At 34.5% G+C, this 20,430-nt stretch overlaps 1 protein-coding gene across 2 annotated transcripts in view; it reads right to left on the bottom strand.

Moving 5' to 3' along the window:
* Positions 1-1,131: 1,131 nt before the first annotated feature.
* PCDH10 (protocadherin 10) overlaps positions 1,132-20,430 on the bottom strand; it is a 59,313-nt gene continuing 40,014 nt past the window's right edge. The window contains exon 5 of one of the 2 annotated variants that reach the window (XM_011532150.2): positions 1,132-1,662. In XM_011532150.2, coding sequence (XP_011530452.1) covers positions 1,592-1,662 — 71 coding nt within the window. In that variant the 3' untranslated portion in view covers positions 1,132-1,591. Of the gene's footprint in view, positions 1,663-15,037; positions 19,598-20,430 lie in introns of those variants that run through there. The other variant, NM_032961.3, reaches the window with a different exon arrangement.

The following is a 20,430-nucleotide window of genomic DNA, read 5'->3' as shown; positions in this document are numbered from 1 at the left end:
TTCAAAAAATTTTTGCCCTCCTCTTATACTGATTTCAATTGTACCTACTTAATATCTGCACATTCTAGAAACACCAGAATTAAGGGTTTTTTGTCTTAAATTTAAAAAATATTTCTTTTTACTGACAAACCCAGATAATGTGGATATTCAATTCCTTTGTTTGGATATAATTTCAGGAGAGGATATACACTGTAAGAAAAAAAATGGATTCTCTATGAATAGCTGATGCAAGAGAACAATTCTAAGATATATTTTTACTTAACTCAAAATAGGTATGATAATTATGGGATATTAAAAGTTAACACTATGTACTCTTCCAATATAAAGTTGAGTTTCTTTATAATCTGTTTTTAAATAAGCATAGTATTGATTTCAAGTTGTGAACATACAAAAACCCATTTTTTTAAATCTTCCTGCTGTTGGTAAGAAAGAATGTGGGTGCTTTAAATACTCTTGATGTGTCTGTCACTGGCTGAATAATCGCCCCTCCTGTGCAGAATAGGCCTTTGTTTGTCACTGGGATCACTATGTAGGTGAAGATTGCCATGTTGGTTTTCTATCGACTTCTTAAAATATAAGCACCTCATCTAGGCTGCCATCTCTAGAGTGACAGATTGGGTAGATGATTCCATCACTAGATCGCACTGTGTTTTGCCATTTGAAACCAGATGTCATTTTTGGAACGAGAGTTAATGCTTTTGTCACAGAGTATTTCTCTTGTTTCGCTTAACATCTACTCACCTTTCAGTACTGAAGAAATACAAAATACAAGCTGATAAGGCTATCCCCAGGCAGAGTTTTCATGCTACCCATGGCAATCTCTGCAGTTATAAAGACCCTTCAATAATCTGTCAAAAACTGACATCACTGTGTGAAGAGCCGTTCATTTCTATATCTCATTTTGGATTGATGTATGTGCACTTTTATATCCTTCAGTTAGACATAACATTTGGCCTTTCATGTTCTCAGTTTAAGCTACAGGGAATTCAGAGCTATTTCAAAGCATAATTATACCAATCTGCATATAAAAGGCTATACGTCCTACAGAGGATTCTATGGAAAAGCAAACTGTTTCAAAGAAGAAAATTAGAAGTAATTCCCACAACTAAAATTCACTAAAGTTAGTACATGTTTCATCTGGTAAGTACAGCTTTATTTTTTTTAAGCCAGTAGATCAATCCCAAAAATAGTGGGGATGATTTTTTGTGTGCAAGGTCAGGGAAAGAGGAGTAAGCAAGAACTGAAAATTGAAGACGAAGGTAAAGCAACAGGGTGTGTACATTATACATATTGGTTTTGAAAATGGCCACATCACACCAGAAAAATCAATACTTCATATTACTGTATCAGACAATAGGATTCTCACCTACATAATGTATTAACTATTTATTGCCACATGGCAATATACCCCAAAACCTCACAACATAAAACCACAAATATTTATTATCTCACAATCTGTGTGGTTCAAAAATTTTAGTGCAGCTTAACTGGGTGCCTCTGGCTAAGGACTCTCAAAGGTTGCAGTCAAACTGTCAGCAGGGGCTGTGGTCTCATCTGAATGCTCAACTTGGGAGTCTGTTTCCAAGCTCACTCATGTGGTTGTTGACAGCCCTTGATCTTGTGCCACATGTGTCTCTCCACATAGCTGCCTCCACAATAGCTCTGCAAGGAATCCAGAAAATAATGAGACAGTATATAAGAAGTTCCTCAAAATGGAAACAATAGCATTTTGATACCCTAACGTCAAGTGTGAAATCACTTCACTTTTATCACTTTGATTTTTTTAGAGGTGGTTTACTAATCCCACCTACATTCAGGGGAGAGGTATTACTCAAGGCTGTCAATGTTAGGATGTGAAAATCATTATGGGCCATCACAGAGGCTGTCAACCCTACATAAACACAGTCATGTTAAATTGCTTTAGGTACTTTTTTATATTACAAAAGACATTTCAAAATGCAATTTCTGCCAGTGTGGTTTTAAACTAAAAGTAATTCTACTACACAAATTCTGCAGTCTTTTTTCCCAAATATATTGTTCTCCAAATATAATCTTGCTAGTTTTAGAAAGTTTCATAACTTGTAATTGATGAGTACAGTTACTTACATTTTTTGAGTAACAATTTTTATCTTTTTTTAAACATGAAAAATTGAGATTTGAAAAAAAAACCTCACAAATATAATTGTGTAAATTCTGGAGCTAACAAAGTACTTAGCACAGAAGTTATGCAGCATATGGTTATCCTAGTCCCAAACAGTAAAATGTGTCTGTATGTGCCAGCTCTTAATTATCAGCTCATTAACACTCAGGTGTCAATTGCTGGTGGCAAAGGCAATGCCCAAATGGCCTAGTTTCTGTCATGCACAGTGTAATTAAATTGACCTCAAGTATTGAAGCTTGCTAGTTGCCTGATACTATTTGGACACTAATTTCAGGCCACTATTCAAAATAGAGTAATATGGTAAATAAACCAATGCAATGACCAAAAAGGGATATTGAGTTTTATATTATAATATAATATAATAACCTTAGAAACAATTGAATAAATAATCGCTATTCTAATCTATAACAAATCTAACAATGCATATTACCCCTTTGGTTTTAACATTATTGATTTAAAATTACTTTAGATATCATTTCAAGATAATGATATTACAAAAAAAGTAAAAATAAGTTATTAAAATAGTGGCATATGGAAAAATGAATTACATATTTTATTATTTTGTTTATTGACATGTAATGAAATAAACCAATTAATATTTTAAATTTTAATTATGAATTCCAAAATGTGATTCAATTTCAAACATGTCAGTGCTTTTCTATATAGCCCTAACAACAGCAATAAAAAATCTACTGAAGAGAATCCCACATTCAAACTCTCAATAATGTAAGATCAAATTTCCTCATGACATTCTGCATTATGCTTATAAGACTTTTCTTTTTATGTCCATAGTTTATTTTCAAGCTCCCATTTACAGAGAGGGGAGAGGTCAATTAATGCACTAACCTTTCTTCCTCCTAAAACTTTATGAATGTGAAAAAAAATTAATGAAAAAGCTACAATGACAAATAAAAGACAAACAATTGAGGAAATAACTATGACAACATTCTGAATGTTTGGAAGTAGATAAAAAGTTATAATTGACATAGTAACTGCAAAAGTTTTAAAACCTTAGCTGGAAGCTAAGAGTGTAAAGAAGAAACCTGGTTTATCCCACAAAAAATTCCCAAGGCTTAGTAATTGACAGCACAAATTAGTTCTGAAGTAGGGGTAAAAATAAGCCTAATAAAAAGGACCAAAAATGTTATTAAGAAGCAGTTAGACCTCCCAGATGTCCTCATCAACTGTGCACATATAGGTGATCAACTATTCCCTCCGGTTAAGAGACACGAGATTTATTATTCTCTAAGGAGGTTGAAACAGAGAGCTCCTACATTAGGAAATAGCAGGCACAGTTTAATGTGCAATCGTCATACAAAGAAGTTTGGATCTTGGGTCGTCTAGATTTTTTTTTCCCAATTAGTTTTCAGAATTCAAGTACCCAGGCTTACACCTCCAGGCAGAAGACCTGAAAATATTTCTCTTGGTTATCTAACAAGACCAGGAAGAAAAATATGTCTAAACATATTGACCAGGAGTTCCCCAATTAAATGTTACCCAGATTACCCTACAGACAAACATACTCAAAAAGCCCTCCACACAGGGACAGAATTTATCTTCAGCGTTTTAGAGTACCTACATTCTTAATTATGAGCTGACAGCCAAGTATCATAAGACATTAAGAAAAGTCTCTAACATAATTCTAGGAGACACTATTCGGAAAAAATAAAATGAAAAATAAACTGTCATCAATATATTGGATAAAATTAAGTATTGCATATGCAAAGAGTTAAAAATACTTTAAAAGAGGAACATTCTGAAAACAAGAAGAACTCTTAGAATTCAAGAAACAATAATAATAGTAGTAATAAAATAAAAACTCAGTAGAGGTTTGGAATAGATACATAAGAAAATACCCTAGAAAGTATATTTTTAAAATATAGAGAAGAAAAAGTAATGAAAATTGACAGACAAGTAGAGGAGGTTCAGCATCCAAATAACGAAGGAGCCAAAAAGATGAAGAAAAATAAGGGAAGAAATGATGAGAGTAATAATTTGAGAAAATTTCCAAAAGTTGAAAGGCTTGGATTTGAAGATTGAAAGAGCTCACAAAGTGACTGCAACATGGATGAAAATGGACCGTCAAGTTCCACAATACCAAATTTCAGACCTTAATCACAAAGAGATTCTCTCACAAGTTTACAAAGGAGCTGGGGGATCCTGTGTTTATGAAAAGTTTATTTACAAAAATGGTCCACTTCCCTTAGAAGACGATATGGAAACTCTTTCAAAGAATCAAAGCTTCACAACAGAAAAATTTGACATGAGTCAAGCCTGACCAAGTCCTTAATTCTTCAAGTGTTCACAGAGTTTTGGTCTTTTTCATGCTAGATACTGTTCACCCTTAGTGTCTGAGGCCTAAAATTAAGGCCCATTGTTATGTGTTGGCGTCACTAGGAAGGCCTCAAAAAGCCTAACTTCAAGTTCCCTTCCCACTCTGCTCCAGAAGATGAGGTCTCCTAACCAAACCATCCTCCTTATCAAGGAGACCATGCACAGGCCCTGCTTATCCTGGGTTTCCTGATAGTGGGTTTCAGTTCCCTGCTAACACAGGGAATTGTTCAAATAAGCTAATCACATCATCCCCTTGGAACCAGGGTGCACTTCTTGAAACACAAAGCTTTTCTCCCACAGTCCCTGGTTGTTCCCTTTGTTTCCAAGTACACACTCCAAGTGGTCCTGTGCAGAATGCAGTGTCCTCCTCTCCCAGGCTGTGAGAAGATGTGACTAATAAATTGCTGTAGATGCCATTTGTCCAGTGTCCAGTTGCAGATTCTCCATCCCAATAATCCCAGGGCAGGAATCCCTCCCTCACCAATAGAGTGAATAGGAGGCAAGTAAAATAACCTCTTAAAGGATGGTACAACCATGACCAAGGACACCTGGTCAACTTTAATTCACTGCTTTTGGATAACTAAGTGGTTTCATGATACTGGGAAGGCCAAATTGGAACAAACCACTAATTGGTTCCAGCACCACTTTGTTTCCTCTCTTCCCTGTCTAGGAAGCTCTTGTTTTTCTCCAAAAGAAGAATTCTTGTTAATTGACTATACATGGGCATGACTGATGGTTGGGTTTGGTCTGTTTTTGGCAAGTGTCCCTGAGTCTCCTGCCCATAAAAGTAGTGACAACACAGCACCTTAAAGGTAGGCTGGTGCTTGAGTCCTACCTATCAAGGGTAAGCTAGAGCTCTCTGCTTACAGCATCTAACGTAGTGACCTTCACTAGCTGCTTGGGACAGCCATGTGGATGTTAACTGTGACTGTACACCCCCAGGAGGACTATGGGATGACACGTTGTCAGGTTTGTAGAAAGGGAGGGGACCGATACCCTAGAAAGAATTAAGCATGGCTCCCAGGTTGCCTAACAAGAGCCGCCGTTCAGGCAAGGGTAGCCACCTTGCCCATTTCCTGTGTAACTGTTTCCCTCATTGCATCCCATGCATCCTCCTGACTCCCAGGGGTATAAAGGTAAACATCTATGGCAGCCCATGGTCAAGGCACTGATGGAAAAATAATGAGAGAGAGTTTAGGAGCATTTCTTGCCAGCCCGTCTTAAAACAGTGGAGAGGTAATGCAACTGCTCTCCCAATGAAAAACCCTACCCAAAATTCTTAGGCTTTTCTTAGTGTTGCTGTTTACCAGCATGCAAAAGTACTTCACTGCCATGCCTGCCTCACAGTCAAAATGACCTTACTAGATGCAGACTCCAGCACTGAGGAGATTTGAGTGGCATTCCCTGGGGAATGAGATAGCTGTCCACAGGTGGACTGCTAGGCTCCCAACATTTTTACCCTCAACCACACAGAAGGTCTGCACCAAGAGTGATCAGGAAACGGACTGAAAGCTGTAACTATTAAACTTTACATGTTAAGAAATTCAAAATATTCTGAGGAAATTTGTACAGAGAGAACAGAGAGATTAAAAAAAGAGGAAGGCTGCATGCCTATAGTAGACAATGGTTTTGAGAATGACCTCTGGGTCATGACCCCAGAACACTTCCATTGTGCCAAAATGTTGTCTGTTTCTCTGTTGCAACAAAGATCATGATTCTCAGCTTGATAGGGTAAAATACCCATGACACCCCTATGGCATAGCATAGGTGTTATTTAAAACCCAACTTAAGTCTGGGGCTCTTAAATCCTATGATGCAACCATTTCCTTGGAAAAGGCCCCTAACCTTTATGATAATTATTTGAGGCTTTCTAAAGCAAAAAGTTTATAACTATGAGCAGAGTATAGAGGGGAAAAACAAAAAAGAAAGAAAAAGAAGGAAGGAATCTTGAATACAAGGGGAGAGAACAAAATTGAAATAAAGATATAAAATTGGACCACTTCTCATTGCTCCTGTAATGTCTATACTATCTCTATACCATGGCCATAAGCTGACAGTGGACTTCTCCTTGGCCCTACACCATACATCTTTACAGTGGCAATTTTTGGCCACATACTGGGCTTTTCTGGAAATACAGAACTCTCATAGACATTGAGCTTCTGATCCTCCATACCAAGCTGGCCATTATGTCTTGGGTCATGAAATCAGCATTCCATAAGCTCTGCACAGCTACCTAGGATTTCCTTCAACAGACTGGCACCGAACTTGATCCTCTAATATACTCTCCCTGAAAGACCAAGTGGCCTCACCTCTCCTCAGCCCCTTCTCTGATGCCTCAGTGCTAGAAGAGATCAACTCACTTGTGGAGCTCTTGACAACCTGGGAACAACTGAGGGAACATGTTGATATACTTTATGGATCAATGACCACCATTATACATGATGGAGCTCAATGGACCTTTACTGCTTTTCATCCATTAGTCAGGATGTCCCTGATAAACAACAGGATAAAAAGGTCAGCATAACTGGCCAAACATAAGACAGTCAGTTTTGCACCAAAAGTCCAGGACAGGAAATGGCTTCTTCTGTACATTTTCATGAACTCTCAATATGTTGTCTAAGAATTGACCCCTTGGAGGTAAAGATTCCTGAGAATCTCTTGCCCCACAGAGACACAATATAAAAATCAAGGCAACAGATATCACTATATGTACTAGGGCCACAATACAAGGCCTCACCAGAACACCTCTTATTCCTTTAAAGTTGTAAACATTATTGATAGTGACTAAGGCATTTACTTTACTTCTTAAAATAGACAATGTTGGGCTCTTGAGTAAGGTACTCAGTGCAACTTCCATGTACCCTCAAGACCTCGAGCCGCTAGTTTAATTAAGAGGCATAATGCCATCCTCAAAGAATTCCTATTTAAGCTACTAACTGGCAAATAGAACCCCTGGTATTGCCATAGGTATAGATTAGTTTAAATCCACATCTGTATTCTCTGCAATAATGCCACACAGGTCCCTCACTTTTCTTTATTGGCCATAAAAAGGATACCACTAAAGTTTATGTTTTTGAAGATTACTTCATGCATAGCCCTCTTTACCCTGGTCAAGTGCCTACTTCACATCCTAGGGAGTTTCTTCCACTGCATAGCAATCTACTTATCACAAAGATATAAACTGATGCCAAGGCTTCAAGGAGCTAATGGGGGTCTAAAATTAAGGCCCAATATTATGTGCTGCCTTGATATCTTGTATAACCAAGAGAGCCTCAAATGCCCTAAGCCTTCTTCACTCTGCTCCCAAAGATAAGATTCCCCTAGCCAAAGAATTGTCTTTATTAGGGATCCCCAAGCACAATTCCTTTTTTTTTTTTTTTTTTTTTGAGATGGAGTTTCACTCTTGTTGCCCAGGCTGGAGTGCAATGGCATGATCTCAGCTCACTGCAACCTCCGCCTCCCAGGTTCAAGCGATTCTCTTGCCTCAGCCTCCAGAGTAGCTGGGATTACAGGCATGAGCCACCATGCCCGGCTAATTTTGTATTTTTAGTAGAGACGGGGTTTCTCTGTGTTGGTCAGGCGGGTCTCAAACTTCCGACCTCAGTTGATCTGCCCACCTTGGCCTCCCAAAGTGCTGGGATTACAGGTGTGAGCCACCCCGCCTAGCACAATTCCTTTTTATCCCTAAGTATTGAGGTTTCAATTCCAGTCCCAGCCCCACAGATTTACTCAAACAATTCAATTACATCCGCTAGTGGGAGGTTGTTTCCTCTGTCCCTGAGTGCAACCCCAATGTGGCCTTTTTTGTTGTGCAGGGCCTTCCCCCAGGCTGTGAGAATATTTGACTAACAAATATTGCTGTCATTCTCATCCATCTATACACTGTTAGGTGTGTGTGTCTCCATCCCCATAATCCTACGGTGAGAATACCTCCTTCGATGGGGTGAATAGTAGGTAATTAAACTATCCTTTACATGCCTTCCTATTTTTCTTTCAATGTTTCACTAAATTAGTTAAAGTAAGTTGAGCTAACTGGGGTGGAATTATTAGGTGAAATGATGATGGTTTTGTAAAATCAGGTTAGTCAGATTTACTCTTGGTGATGCAGCAGTTTGTTCAATGTGATTTCTCTGGGAGACGTACTCATATTTGGCTGTAATTGTGCTTATTCACTACCAATATAACATGTCATTAAGAGGAATAAAAATGCCTACATTTCATTTTAATATAAATCCATAAAAGAACAATAAGAACTGTCTTTAGTTTTTTAGGCCAAATTTAACAGTGCCTTATATGAGAGAATCATCGTTATGGGTGAACATAGCAAGAACTGGAAATTTTAAAATATAAAATGAGGTTCTAGATGCTATAATTTATTTGTATATTTTCAAATATCACTACTCCCAAGATTTCAATTTTAAAATAAGACACAGAGAATGGAAACATAGCCTGGCACAGGTGGAGAACTCAGAGTCAAGAGAAAGGATTAGGGTGGGTTGTTAAGTTTATTGTTAGGTTCTTCCATGAGTTGACTTATATTTGTGTCATTTTCTTCATAGGTGGGATTCAGACCAAAATATTTTTAAGGCCCTGTTCTGCATTAACATTCTATTATCCTGTGGGACCCGCTTAAAAAATAGAAAATAAGATTAATTGCTAGTAAAGGTTAGAAGATAGTTGATGAATATAGACTTAACAACTTGAAGGTGTTAAGACTTCTTCAAAAATATTTGTTGAAAACATTAGTTGAACTCAGATGCATAGGAAAGATTTTAAAATGTCTTTTACAATAGTTACATCTTTTAAATATTTTATTAACATTTTCTTTATCTTTATTACTTATTGTTATGGGTGTTTGTTACAAAAAAAAAGAAAAAAAATGCCAGAAGGTTTGAGTTAACCTGTGTCCTTTTTACATGGGTCAAGCCTAATTTTGGTACATATACTAGCCAAAGTTATATATACAAAAAAACTTTAAAACTAATTATAATTTACATATGATATATTTATAAAATTACTTCTAAACATTATTAATGAGAAAGTTTTGACAAGAGATATAATTTAAATAATATTAGTAACCATTAGTAGAGAATAAAGCAGAATACAGCATGAATAGTACCATTTTATATTAGAATAAAAATAAAAGGCCGGGCGCGGTGGCTCACGCCTGTAATCCCAGCACTTTGGGAGGCTGAGGTGGGTGGATCACGAGGTCAGGAGATCGAGACCATCCTGGCTAACACGGTGAAACCCCGTCTCTAATAAAAATACAAAAAAATTAGCTGGGCGTGGCGGCGTGCACCTGTAGTCCCAGCAGCTCGGGAGGCTGAGGCAGCAGAATGGCGTGAACTCGGGAGGCGGAACTTGCAGTGAGCCGAGATCAGGCCACTGCACTCCAACCTGGGTGACATAGCAAGACTCCGTCTTGAAAATAATAATAATAATAATAATAATAGTAATAATAATAATAATAATAATAATTAAAAACAACTGTGGAGTTGTTTAAATATAATGCAGTTCAGGCCCCACATGGGCAGCAAGCATAGTAAAATTAAATAATAGAGAAAATTAGAAAGCCTTTCTACAAATAAGATATTTTTTGCAGAGTTTTTTTCCTTTACATTAACTTGTTTAATGGCAGCATGGTCCTCTCCGGCAAAGAAGAAAACATCCGTCATCATCATTTCTCCCTCACCTTCATCAGCTGACTGACCAACATGGTAGTGAGGAAGTACATCCTATTTGTCCCCCCGAAATGCCTCTCAATTCTATCCTCTCCCCTCCATTTTTACCAGTCCATTCTAAGTCAATTGTGTTCATTTGTTCCTTACCTAGAGATTCACAGTAGTCTCTTCCTACCCCAATGTCTCTTTTTCTCTTTTCCATTTTTGCAAGTTATCTTGCTATTTAATTAATTATTATTATTATTATTATTATTATTATTATTATTATTTTGAGACAGGGTTTCACTCTGTCACCCAGGCTGGAGTGCAGTGACACAATCTCAGCTCACTGCAACCGCCACCTCTCCAGCTCAAGTGATCCTCCCACTTCAGCCTTTCAAGTATCTGGGACTACAGGTGCGGGCCACTACTCCCGGCTAAATTTTTTAAAAATTTTTTTTGTAGGGACAGGGTCTCTCCATGTTACCCAGGCTGGTCTCCAACTCCTGAGCTCAAGCGATCCGTCCACCTCATCCTCCTAAAGTGCTGGGATTAATTACAAGTGTGAGCCGCCAGCCAGGCAAGTTATCTTGCTACATCTAAATTAGGCAACTCTTAGTTATTCGTAGCATTTATTTTTATCTTTTATTGTTATATCTAGGACTGGGATAGACACTTCTATAGAGTGTTAAAAAATGCTTTCTCACACACACAGAAATACATCTTAAACTAAAAAAAATCACCTAATATACCTTTTCACTCCAAATAACTGATTTGCAGCTAGAAGCTTGCTTCCCACCTCAGCAGCAACATCTATAACCAATAACCACAGTGTTGTAGCCTTATCATATAGCTTGATAAAAAGCTATGCCAGTATTACATATTTTTGCATGATGTTAGTGGTGTCACCAATTTTCCCCTATTCTGGTTTCTAAAGTTATAAGTACACCATCTTAGAATTAGGAAGACACCTTTAAACGGAGTAATATTTGCAAACACTGTCATGTGAGGCCATACATCATTGTCAAAGAGGCAATGGAAGCAACGTAAGCATCTATGGAGGCATTCAATGAGGTGGTTTGATATTACCACATTTTAAAATCAAATTTAATATACCTCTTAATGTTGCTTAAGGACTATTGTACCACTTTATTTCATTCTTTGTCAGGTTAAAACTAGAATTACTTATCATTTGTTTTCATTACTTTTTTCCTTGTTTTAACTTATGTATGTTAAAATATAACTCTCACACACATCTCTCATTCTCTCTGCCTTTAATTCAATTTTGTTTGGTATATTCTGTTGCAACCATTGTGTTGTTTTTTTGTAGTCTTTGTAGCCCTGTCATAAATAAGGGTGGTTTTCACGCAATGTTAAAATAAATCATTGATTGCACGGGTTGAAAAGCCCATGCCAGCTTGTTGATGATCAAATACTATTGCTTTCCAACCAGGCATTTTGATACTTTAAAGACTAATATTAAAGGGGATCAAAATGCAGATGTTTTACCTATAATATTATCTTTTATTTTCATGTATTCTTTCATATGAGCCTGTTATTACCTTTCCCAATCACACACACACACACACACACACACACACACACACACAATTTTGAGAGAAATACTTTGCCAGAAAAGTTTGAAATTGGCTATTCACTCTATTATTAATTAGGAAACACAACTGAGAATAAGAGAATTCTCACATTTTTGAAATAACATTTAGAGTTGTGGGCTTACACAATTCACCATGCCAACACTTCTTTTCTTCCTTTTTTCATGATCAAAAGAAGAGTTATTCACAATGATAGGGAGAAAATGGAGATGGGGATTGTGTTTCAGATTAGGTGATTGCAATGTTATCTAAATGTTCCTATCTTTCAGACAGATTGGTTGAGGAGTTGCCCAATGATCATCAGATGTTTTCTATGAAAAATAAGCAAACCAAAACAAAAATATCTTCATCTACACAATATTTTCATTATGGATCAATAAATTCCCTTCACAATATGAATACTTAGAAATGTCAGTTAAGTTACAGATTATTTTGAACTACCTTAACTGGGAAATTTAAAACCTAGTTTTCATGACAAGGAGATAAAACTTTTAATTGATTCAAAAGAAAAAAATAAGTAAAGAGGAGGACACCTCTAGGGAACAGAGCCTGTCAAGCTAAGTAATGACAACTTCAAGAAGTCTACTATTAGAGCAACTTTTAAAATTCAATTCTATTGAGCAGATACCGAATACTGCCCAAATTCATTTTTATGAAAATCATATGCAAACAAAATGATTCTGTCAAATATGCAGTATTTCCAACAAGCATTTATTTGTATGGAAATACATATTCAGAAAGGCCATTGGGGTCAGATAAATATGTCCTAGTGCAAACATACACATGTATTTTTCAATAGTAGAGATAGAGGACTATTTGAGAGCTATAAAAGGAAGTGGAGGAAGAAAGCGAACCCAGCCAGATTTGTTTTATTTCCTGTACTCCATACCACTGATAAATGGAGAGGCAAATATGAACTGAGCTGATGAGTGGATACCAATGGCAAGTCTACTTTCATCTTGAGGTTTTGAAATTTGCACTGCTTAGACACAGCTCTGTGGCAGGTTGAAATTTTGAGAAAAGAATTTCTTTTGTTTGTAGACTATATTCTATACTTTTGGTAACCAAGATCAGTGGTTAAATGTTGAAAAAAGTTTAATAACATATACTACTTGCATTGTGAAACTGCCATTGCAAAATTTTAACTGAGAAAATTATTGCAGTTAAAGAGATCCGAACTAGCCAACTCCATCTTGCTTTTAACTTCCAATCTGTCCTTGTTCACTCCTGGGCATAGGCCAAGCTAACTTTGGGAGGAACTTGGTTTATAGTTTAACTTTGAAACAAAGATGATAACAGCCCTTTCCCAAAACAAACCACTTTCCTGTCTGGGGACTAGACTGCCTTTGTAGGACTAACAAATTAGCCACAGGATTAGAGATTATGGTTTAGGAATCATGCAGCTGGAGGCTACAAGATTCTGACCTTTTCTGAATTGCTTCTGGGGATAACCTCACTATTGTAATACCTAAGATCACTGCTTGAGATATTTTGGAGACCCTTCACTTAATCAAATAGCTGGCACCATCCAGATTGATAAACCGGTGCATCCAGTCTTGTGGCCCCCAGCCAGGAACTAACAGTGCAACATGACAGCTTAACAGCTTCTATTTCCTATGATTTCATCTCTGAACCCTCCAATCAGTACTCCTGATTCACTGGTCCCCCCACCCACCAAATCATCCTTAAAAACTCTGATTCCCCAAATACTCTGAAAAACTGATTTGAGTAATAATAAAACTCTGGTCTCCCTAACAGTAGGCTCTGCATGAATAGCTTTCTCTATTGCAATTCCCCTGTCTTGATAAATTGGCTGTGTCTAAGCAGTGGGCAAGGTGAACCTGTTAGGCAGTTACAAGTCTGTGTTAGAATTGTGCTATGCATTTCAGATTCATCAGTTCACCTAATCCTCACAGCAATTCTACAACTAAGTGTACTTATCCATATTTTACAAAGGGTAAAAGATTAAGATTCAGATGTGAGGTAACTTCAGAAATATCTTCCCTGTTTCCACAGCATTAAATAAGTTTAAATTTGAAAAACAGATCATATGGTGCAGTGCTTTTCAAATATTTTGGGGAGTGATTCACAGTAAGAAATATATTTTACATTGTGACCTATTTTATATATGTATATATATCTGAAAAAAGTTTCACAAAGAACCATTTGCTTTTACATAAATGATGTATTTTGATACTTTTCTAATCTATTTTTCTATTTTATTTACTTATTTTTTATGTTATAATCTAGGGCCACTGATAAGTCTCAACCACAAATTTTGATCACTTAATTATTTGATGATTTAATATTTTCTTCCAATTTCCCTGGAAACTGTAATTTTCCTAAAGGCAGATAGTACCATTCATTCTTACTTTCTCGCACTGTTAGACCTCAGTATATGTCTGTAATCTAATACAATTTAATTTTACCACTGAAAATTCATAATCTTAAAGAGTCTATATTTCCCAGAAAGAGTGAAAATAAGGGATAAAAGGTAGTGATACACAGGGGGAAGCAAGGCAACTTGTAATCATAGCTGTTAACCTTTCATTGAGAACTATCATTCTTCTGTATTTTATTCGGTTCTTTTCCACTGAATTGGTTTATTAGATGTTCAAAGCAAGAGAAACACCTAGCCACACCCTCCCCCTGGCTAACTTGTTGCCTTATAAAATGAACCTTGGTCCAGATACGTGCAGTTTGCACTCAAGAAAATCAGTTACAGAGAACACACATGAGATTAAGAAGAACGTTTCTTCTATTACCTTGTAGTTAATTCAGACTTAAATTTCTATAGGGTAAATTCTGATTATTTTCATATTGTAAAAAGTATCTATCCCTTAATTCATATTTTCTTCTTGGAAGATGATACCCATACGGATTTTATTTTTCCTTACATTTCTATCAACTTTAAATATGAAATGCTGTGTTTCTAAAGTTATAGATAAAATCCCTTTCTTTTATTGCTTGAAGGTACTCATATCTTATGTACAACCTCTATGTTAATCTTTGTGGACCCTTGGTATTACTACACATCAAAAAAAAGTTAAAAAGTAAATACAGCATTAGGTGGAAAAATATATACTTCTATGATTCATTTTGGGTATCATGAGAATCATATACAACTAAATGTCTACTTTCAAAGCTATAAATATAATGAAATCCTTTAAAACCTAGCATATGCTGCTTCAAATGAGACTCAGTTTTGAACAGATGTCCCCTTAGACCTGTTATATTAAGACTAAAATTACTAAATCAGCATTAGATGTTTTTAAACTTAGAGCCATATTTGCCACTGATTTTTATTCAAAGCTCCCACAGGCGTCAGTGGAAGATCCATGCATGGAAAAATGGCATAATATGTATCCTAGTTTTATTTATTTCATATGTATACAGCAGTATAAAATAATTTATTACATTTACACTCATTTTACTTATGTATTATTATAGCATTCACAGTAACAAACACTGTAGTTAAGATTGAAACTCATCTTTTGTTATAATACCCTGTTTTCACTCACAGATAACTGTCTCAAAAATGTGTTTAGAGCTGAAATTCCCTGCTTACTTTCAGCTCTAGCATGTATGAATGTATTGGAAGTCTGAGTTCCATCATTCAGAAATTTTTGAGTCTCATGTGAAATTTAGTATTTTTTGAATGATGAATGCAAGATTTTTATGCAACTCAAAAACATCTGGAGAGTAAAACTTCAAACTAAGCATGTGACAACTTTTCAAGAAATAAAAGCAATTTTTCTAATTTTACAAATACTTAAAAAATAACAGTGATTAGAAATACACGCATGCACACTAAAAGTATTAGAATTTTAGTCGTATTATTGCCTGCAATACTCTGGCGGCACCCATCTACCTGCATTCATACAGAATGCTATAATCTAAAACCTATGCCAAGATTTGAAGAAAAGAATACTCTACTGAACAGTTTCACAAATTACTGTATAAGGATTTTGTCTGACTTAGCAGAGGGATGTTTGTTGAAGTACTAACAATATATAAAATAATTTTACTACTCCATGGTGTAAAAAATATGGAATTCCATTATTTTCTGTTTTTCCTTGTTAAAAAGGAACACAAAAGGATGTTAAGTGCAAAGCCTTTACCACTACAAAATTAGACTTGAAAAAGATAAAGAACTCAAGAATTTGTAATATGAAAAATATAAGATTTTCAGAAAAATCATCAAGTATACCAATATTTTAAGTATTTTTGAGTTCCTTGGGTATCAATAGCACACATAGAAACATGAGGGGGAAAAACACATGCAATGACAAATAACAGTGCTATGATCAGTCAATAACTTAAATACTTTTCTTGATCTTGCTGAACTTTTGCCACACTCTGCCTGAGTAATTGTTTTAAAGACTAACTGAGCTCCAGTAAATAATGTTTAGAAGGTAAAATGGTACAATTAACGTACAGTTGTTAAAGATTATATTGGGAATTGTGAGATTCTTTTTCCTCCTCTTATTGAAGAAGCAAGATAGCTTCTATAATACAGAGAATCTGATGGCAAATTACAATCCAATTAACAAATAAAACAATGAGAAATTAAAATATTTAAATATTCTACTATAGTTCTTAATTTGCAATGTTTGATAAAGGCAGTGCATTTAATATCTTTAAAAAATAAAATACACATATTTCCTTAATATTTGCCAAGAAAAGATGATACATATATCATTGACGCTATTATATCTGTGAAGTAATTCTGATGTGATATTTAAATTTGATTTAAGATGATTTCACCAAACTATGTTCACACGTTAAAAATTAGAATTCTACATGTGGATGAAATATTTTCTAAAAATTGTCTTTTGACATACCTTTGAAACATTAAGACACTGTTTCCACAGGAAATTTTTTTTGACTTTGACTGCTCTAAAACTAACCATGTTAACAAGGAGTAAATGACATGATTTTTTTTTCTGAAATAATTTATTGACGAAATACTGTCTAATACGATGGATATTATTCTTTGATGTATATAAAATTATGTAAGATTGGATATTAGAATGACCAGATTAAAGAGAAAACCTATCCTAAAATTCCTTGATATATTAATCTAGTAAATGCTTAATTAGAAACCTTCATTATTTGTTGGTTGCACTTTCCATTTTATAGTCCCCCTCATTGGAAGAAAACATTTTAACCAACTTACAAGAATCATATCCTTACTCTGTTGTAACTTCTAATTTACTTTGGATGCAACAGATAAGTTGATTAATGACCTAATAATGTAGCATTTTATCCTTAAACAATTCTATTTGTCCCGCAAATTAGGAAGAAGTTCTGGTTTTGGTTTTGTAGATTGATGATAACTAAAATGTAAGTTAGTATAACTAGTTCCTAGGATATATGAAAATAACTAATACACAAATATATAATAAAAAAGTTGGTTCAAAGGAGATTATATACAATGATATAAAAGGTTAAATAATTAAAGAAAATGTCTTTGAGGTAAATGACAATATAATTACTATACATGAAGTGAGTATAATCTTATTTTCAATGCATGCAGTAAGGAAGATGGATGTGGATATTCACCCATGATTGCAAAATGATGCGTGAAACATTTTAATTAAAGCAGAGTGACTCAACAAGAAAATCATTTTCTTGCTAAAAAAAAGAGTTGGAACAAACAGACTTTTTTCCAGTTAAATTATGTATAAACATTTCCTTACTAAAATAGTCTATCATTCAAAATATTAATGTAGTAATGCCAAAGTTTAAGAAAATGTTACTGCTGCACTTAGTGAATTTATGTGCTTTTTGTATTACATATGATCTGTTAGCTTCATATATGTTTAAAGAGACTTCAAAAGGCTGGAACATTACATACATTATTTTGATATATGAACTGATTGGAATATGATATATTAATATCTAATTTGATAACAGTCAAATGAGTGATACCAATATATCACTCTAAATGTACATATCAGGACCTAAGTGTGTGTGTGTGTGTGTGTGTGTGTGTGTGTATATATATGTATTTTAAAGTTAAATCTAGGGAAAAATTTCCACTTAAGTTACATAAAATTTGATGAAGAACATTTGTCAAATGTTAAGTTTTAGTCTATTCTTTAATAACACAGTGCAGCTCAAACTGTCATTGAATATAAGATCAGTTAAAAATTAAGGAAAGTATTTCAAAACAGGTTTCTAATTTGAACTGGGCAAACATTTTGATATAATGTTGAAGCTTTGATATGATGTTTTGATATCATAGTTTAGAGGGCGAGGGGAGCTGTGACAATTCTGTTTTTTGCTTGAAAGATTATCTTATATTCTCTGATTTTTTTCCTCTCTCGAATGTGTTCTAACAAGGCATACACAACAGTAGAAAAAATATATAAAAGAAAGGAAAGTGCGTCTTACTAAATTTAATAATTAATATTGTTGACATAAAAGTAAAAGGCAAGCTTAACTTTTGAAGGCTGACTCATGAAGAATTTTTTCATTAATCAAACACTGACTACATTTAAGCTATAAAATTTTCACATGGAATACTGAAACAATAATGTACCATGATTCTATCTCTAAATTTATTTTAAATTTAGAGCTTTCATATTTTATAGTTATTCTTTACCAGTTCAGATGTTTCTATATCTCTATATATTCATATAGAATTATAGATTTTATATTCATGTGTAATTAAGTCACAAAACTATGTAAAATAAAATTCTGTGTGAGTGATATGACTGATGACTTCTTAAAATAGTAATCTTCAATTACATATTTTACACCACAAAATGTACAGACACCCAGTTTTTTTCTAACAACAAATACAGGTGAATTTATCGATTCTTTATAAAAGCTTTAAGTGATTCTAAATTCAAAGTCATAGAAATAGAATCAGACTTATGCAGATTGTTAGATAGTTTGATAGTACATAGTCAGTGCTCTGTCTGATAACATCAATAGCTACATCTTTGGCATTGAAAATTCAATATGAGTTTTTGACAAAATTTTGTAGCTTAGAGCATCATTTTCTTTTAAACAAGGAAAAACACGGTTGAGTAAGATATGGAAATTGGGAGAAAACTATTAATGATTTTTTCTTAGTAAGTTTGTCTTTGGGACCCTGAATTACCTTTTATTTTATTGTATGATGTGGACTGTATGCATCCATTTAAAAACCAACTGAGTTGTACCACATTTTAGGAAAATTATATAATATAATATATATATTTTATATTTATTTAGAAGCTTTGAAATAGTACAGTAAACACTTTGCAACACGGTGTATAAACTACAGAATGTCTTTGATATTTTGTGGGTCTTCAGAATACAACATTTTTTATAACCCACAGGTGAAAAGAACATAATCACAATTTCTCTTGTAAAGTTGGAATAGCTTGCGGAACACTTGATCACACAAAAATAATATAAAACAGTCAAGTTTAAAACAGTGATATTGCATTTATAATGCACAAATTTCCTTTATCTTTATGACTGGCTTCTCGTGGTGAATATAAACATCTAAAGGGCTCAGTGACATTTGGAGAGAGAAAGATAGATAGTGCTGTAAACAGGCACACACTGATCGGGGAGGCAAAATCTGTTGCCTCTAAAGTTTCTACAGTTCTGCACATTTCAACTCATTTCTCAGGCCTGCTGAGAGCAATTAGGTCCTATAATTGGCCATGATGACTCCATCCGAAATCTAATACTCAGTTACACATGACTAACTGGATGGCCAAGATAATGAAGTTGAAAAGTTGATGCTTTTGTTGGTCGACTTTGTGCAAATCATGCTGCTTCAGGTAAGTCCTGTAGAATTGACTAGCATATCCTTTTCCGTGCTGTGAAAAAGAAAGAAAAATACTCTAAGAAAAAGAGGTTGACTTTTGGAGTTTAGAATTACACATTATTGTAAAAGAAAGAATACAGTTAGAAACTAGTTGTACCCTCATACCAAACACATGTAGTGTCAAACTTTTTCACTGCTAGTAGTCACAGCCATTCTGTTGTTTGGTTTTCTGAGAATGATAATTTTGATATTCTTATAAATTAGTTTTGCATGGGAAATGTACATTTTATATACCAAAGATGAAATTTGTGAAGATTAACTTTTTAAAGTTATCTACATAAAACAATCCCTACACTTCACTATTTATGCACAGAGTATAGAAAAAAATGTGTGGCCCTTACATTTCTAGAAAAAGTTTCTAGCAAAATCTATAAATAACTTGTTTTATATTTAATTTCATAAACTATAAATTATACATATTAAACCAATATTTATTATGGAAAACTGTACCAGAAAGTGTTTATGTAGTTAAATAATTTAAAGATGACTCACATTTTCTAGGTTTATTTAATCTCATTTATAAAATTTTAAAACCAAGTATTTTTATGGCCCATACATTTTTTTAAAGTATTCTTACTATGAGAATCCATTTTCTCATAAAGGAATTAATAAAGGCAAAGGGGAGAAAGATATTATCAAATTTGCTCTAGTTGTATAAAATATATTAAATTACAAAGCAGAATGCCCAGATTTGATTGCCCAGATTTCATAATTTTAAGTATTTTGTTTATTTGTAATGATAAATAATATTTCTTCCCTTATCCATAAACTTTGTAATATTTGACCATAAGCACAATGAGAGCAGAAGTTGCATCATATCTATCA

The sequence above is a fragment of the Homo sapiens genome, chromosome 4 (assembly GCF_000001405.40).
Source record: "Homo sapiens chromosome 4, GRCh38.p14 Primary Assembly".
Taxonomy (NCBI): domain Eukaryota; kingdom Metazoa; phylum Chordata; class Mammalia; order Primates; family Hominidae; genus Homo; species Homo sapiens.
The sequence above is the reverse complement of the archived record's forward strand: the minus strand, read 5'-3'. Positions and strand labels throughout refer to the sequence as shown.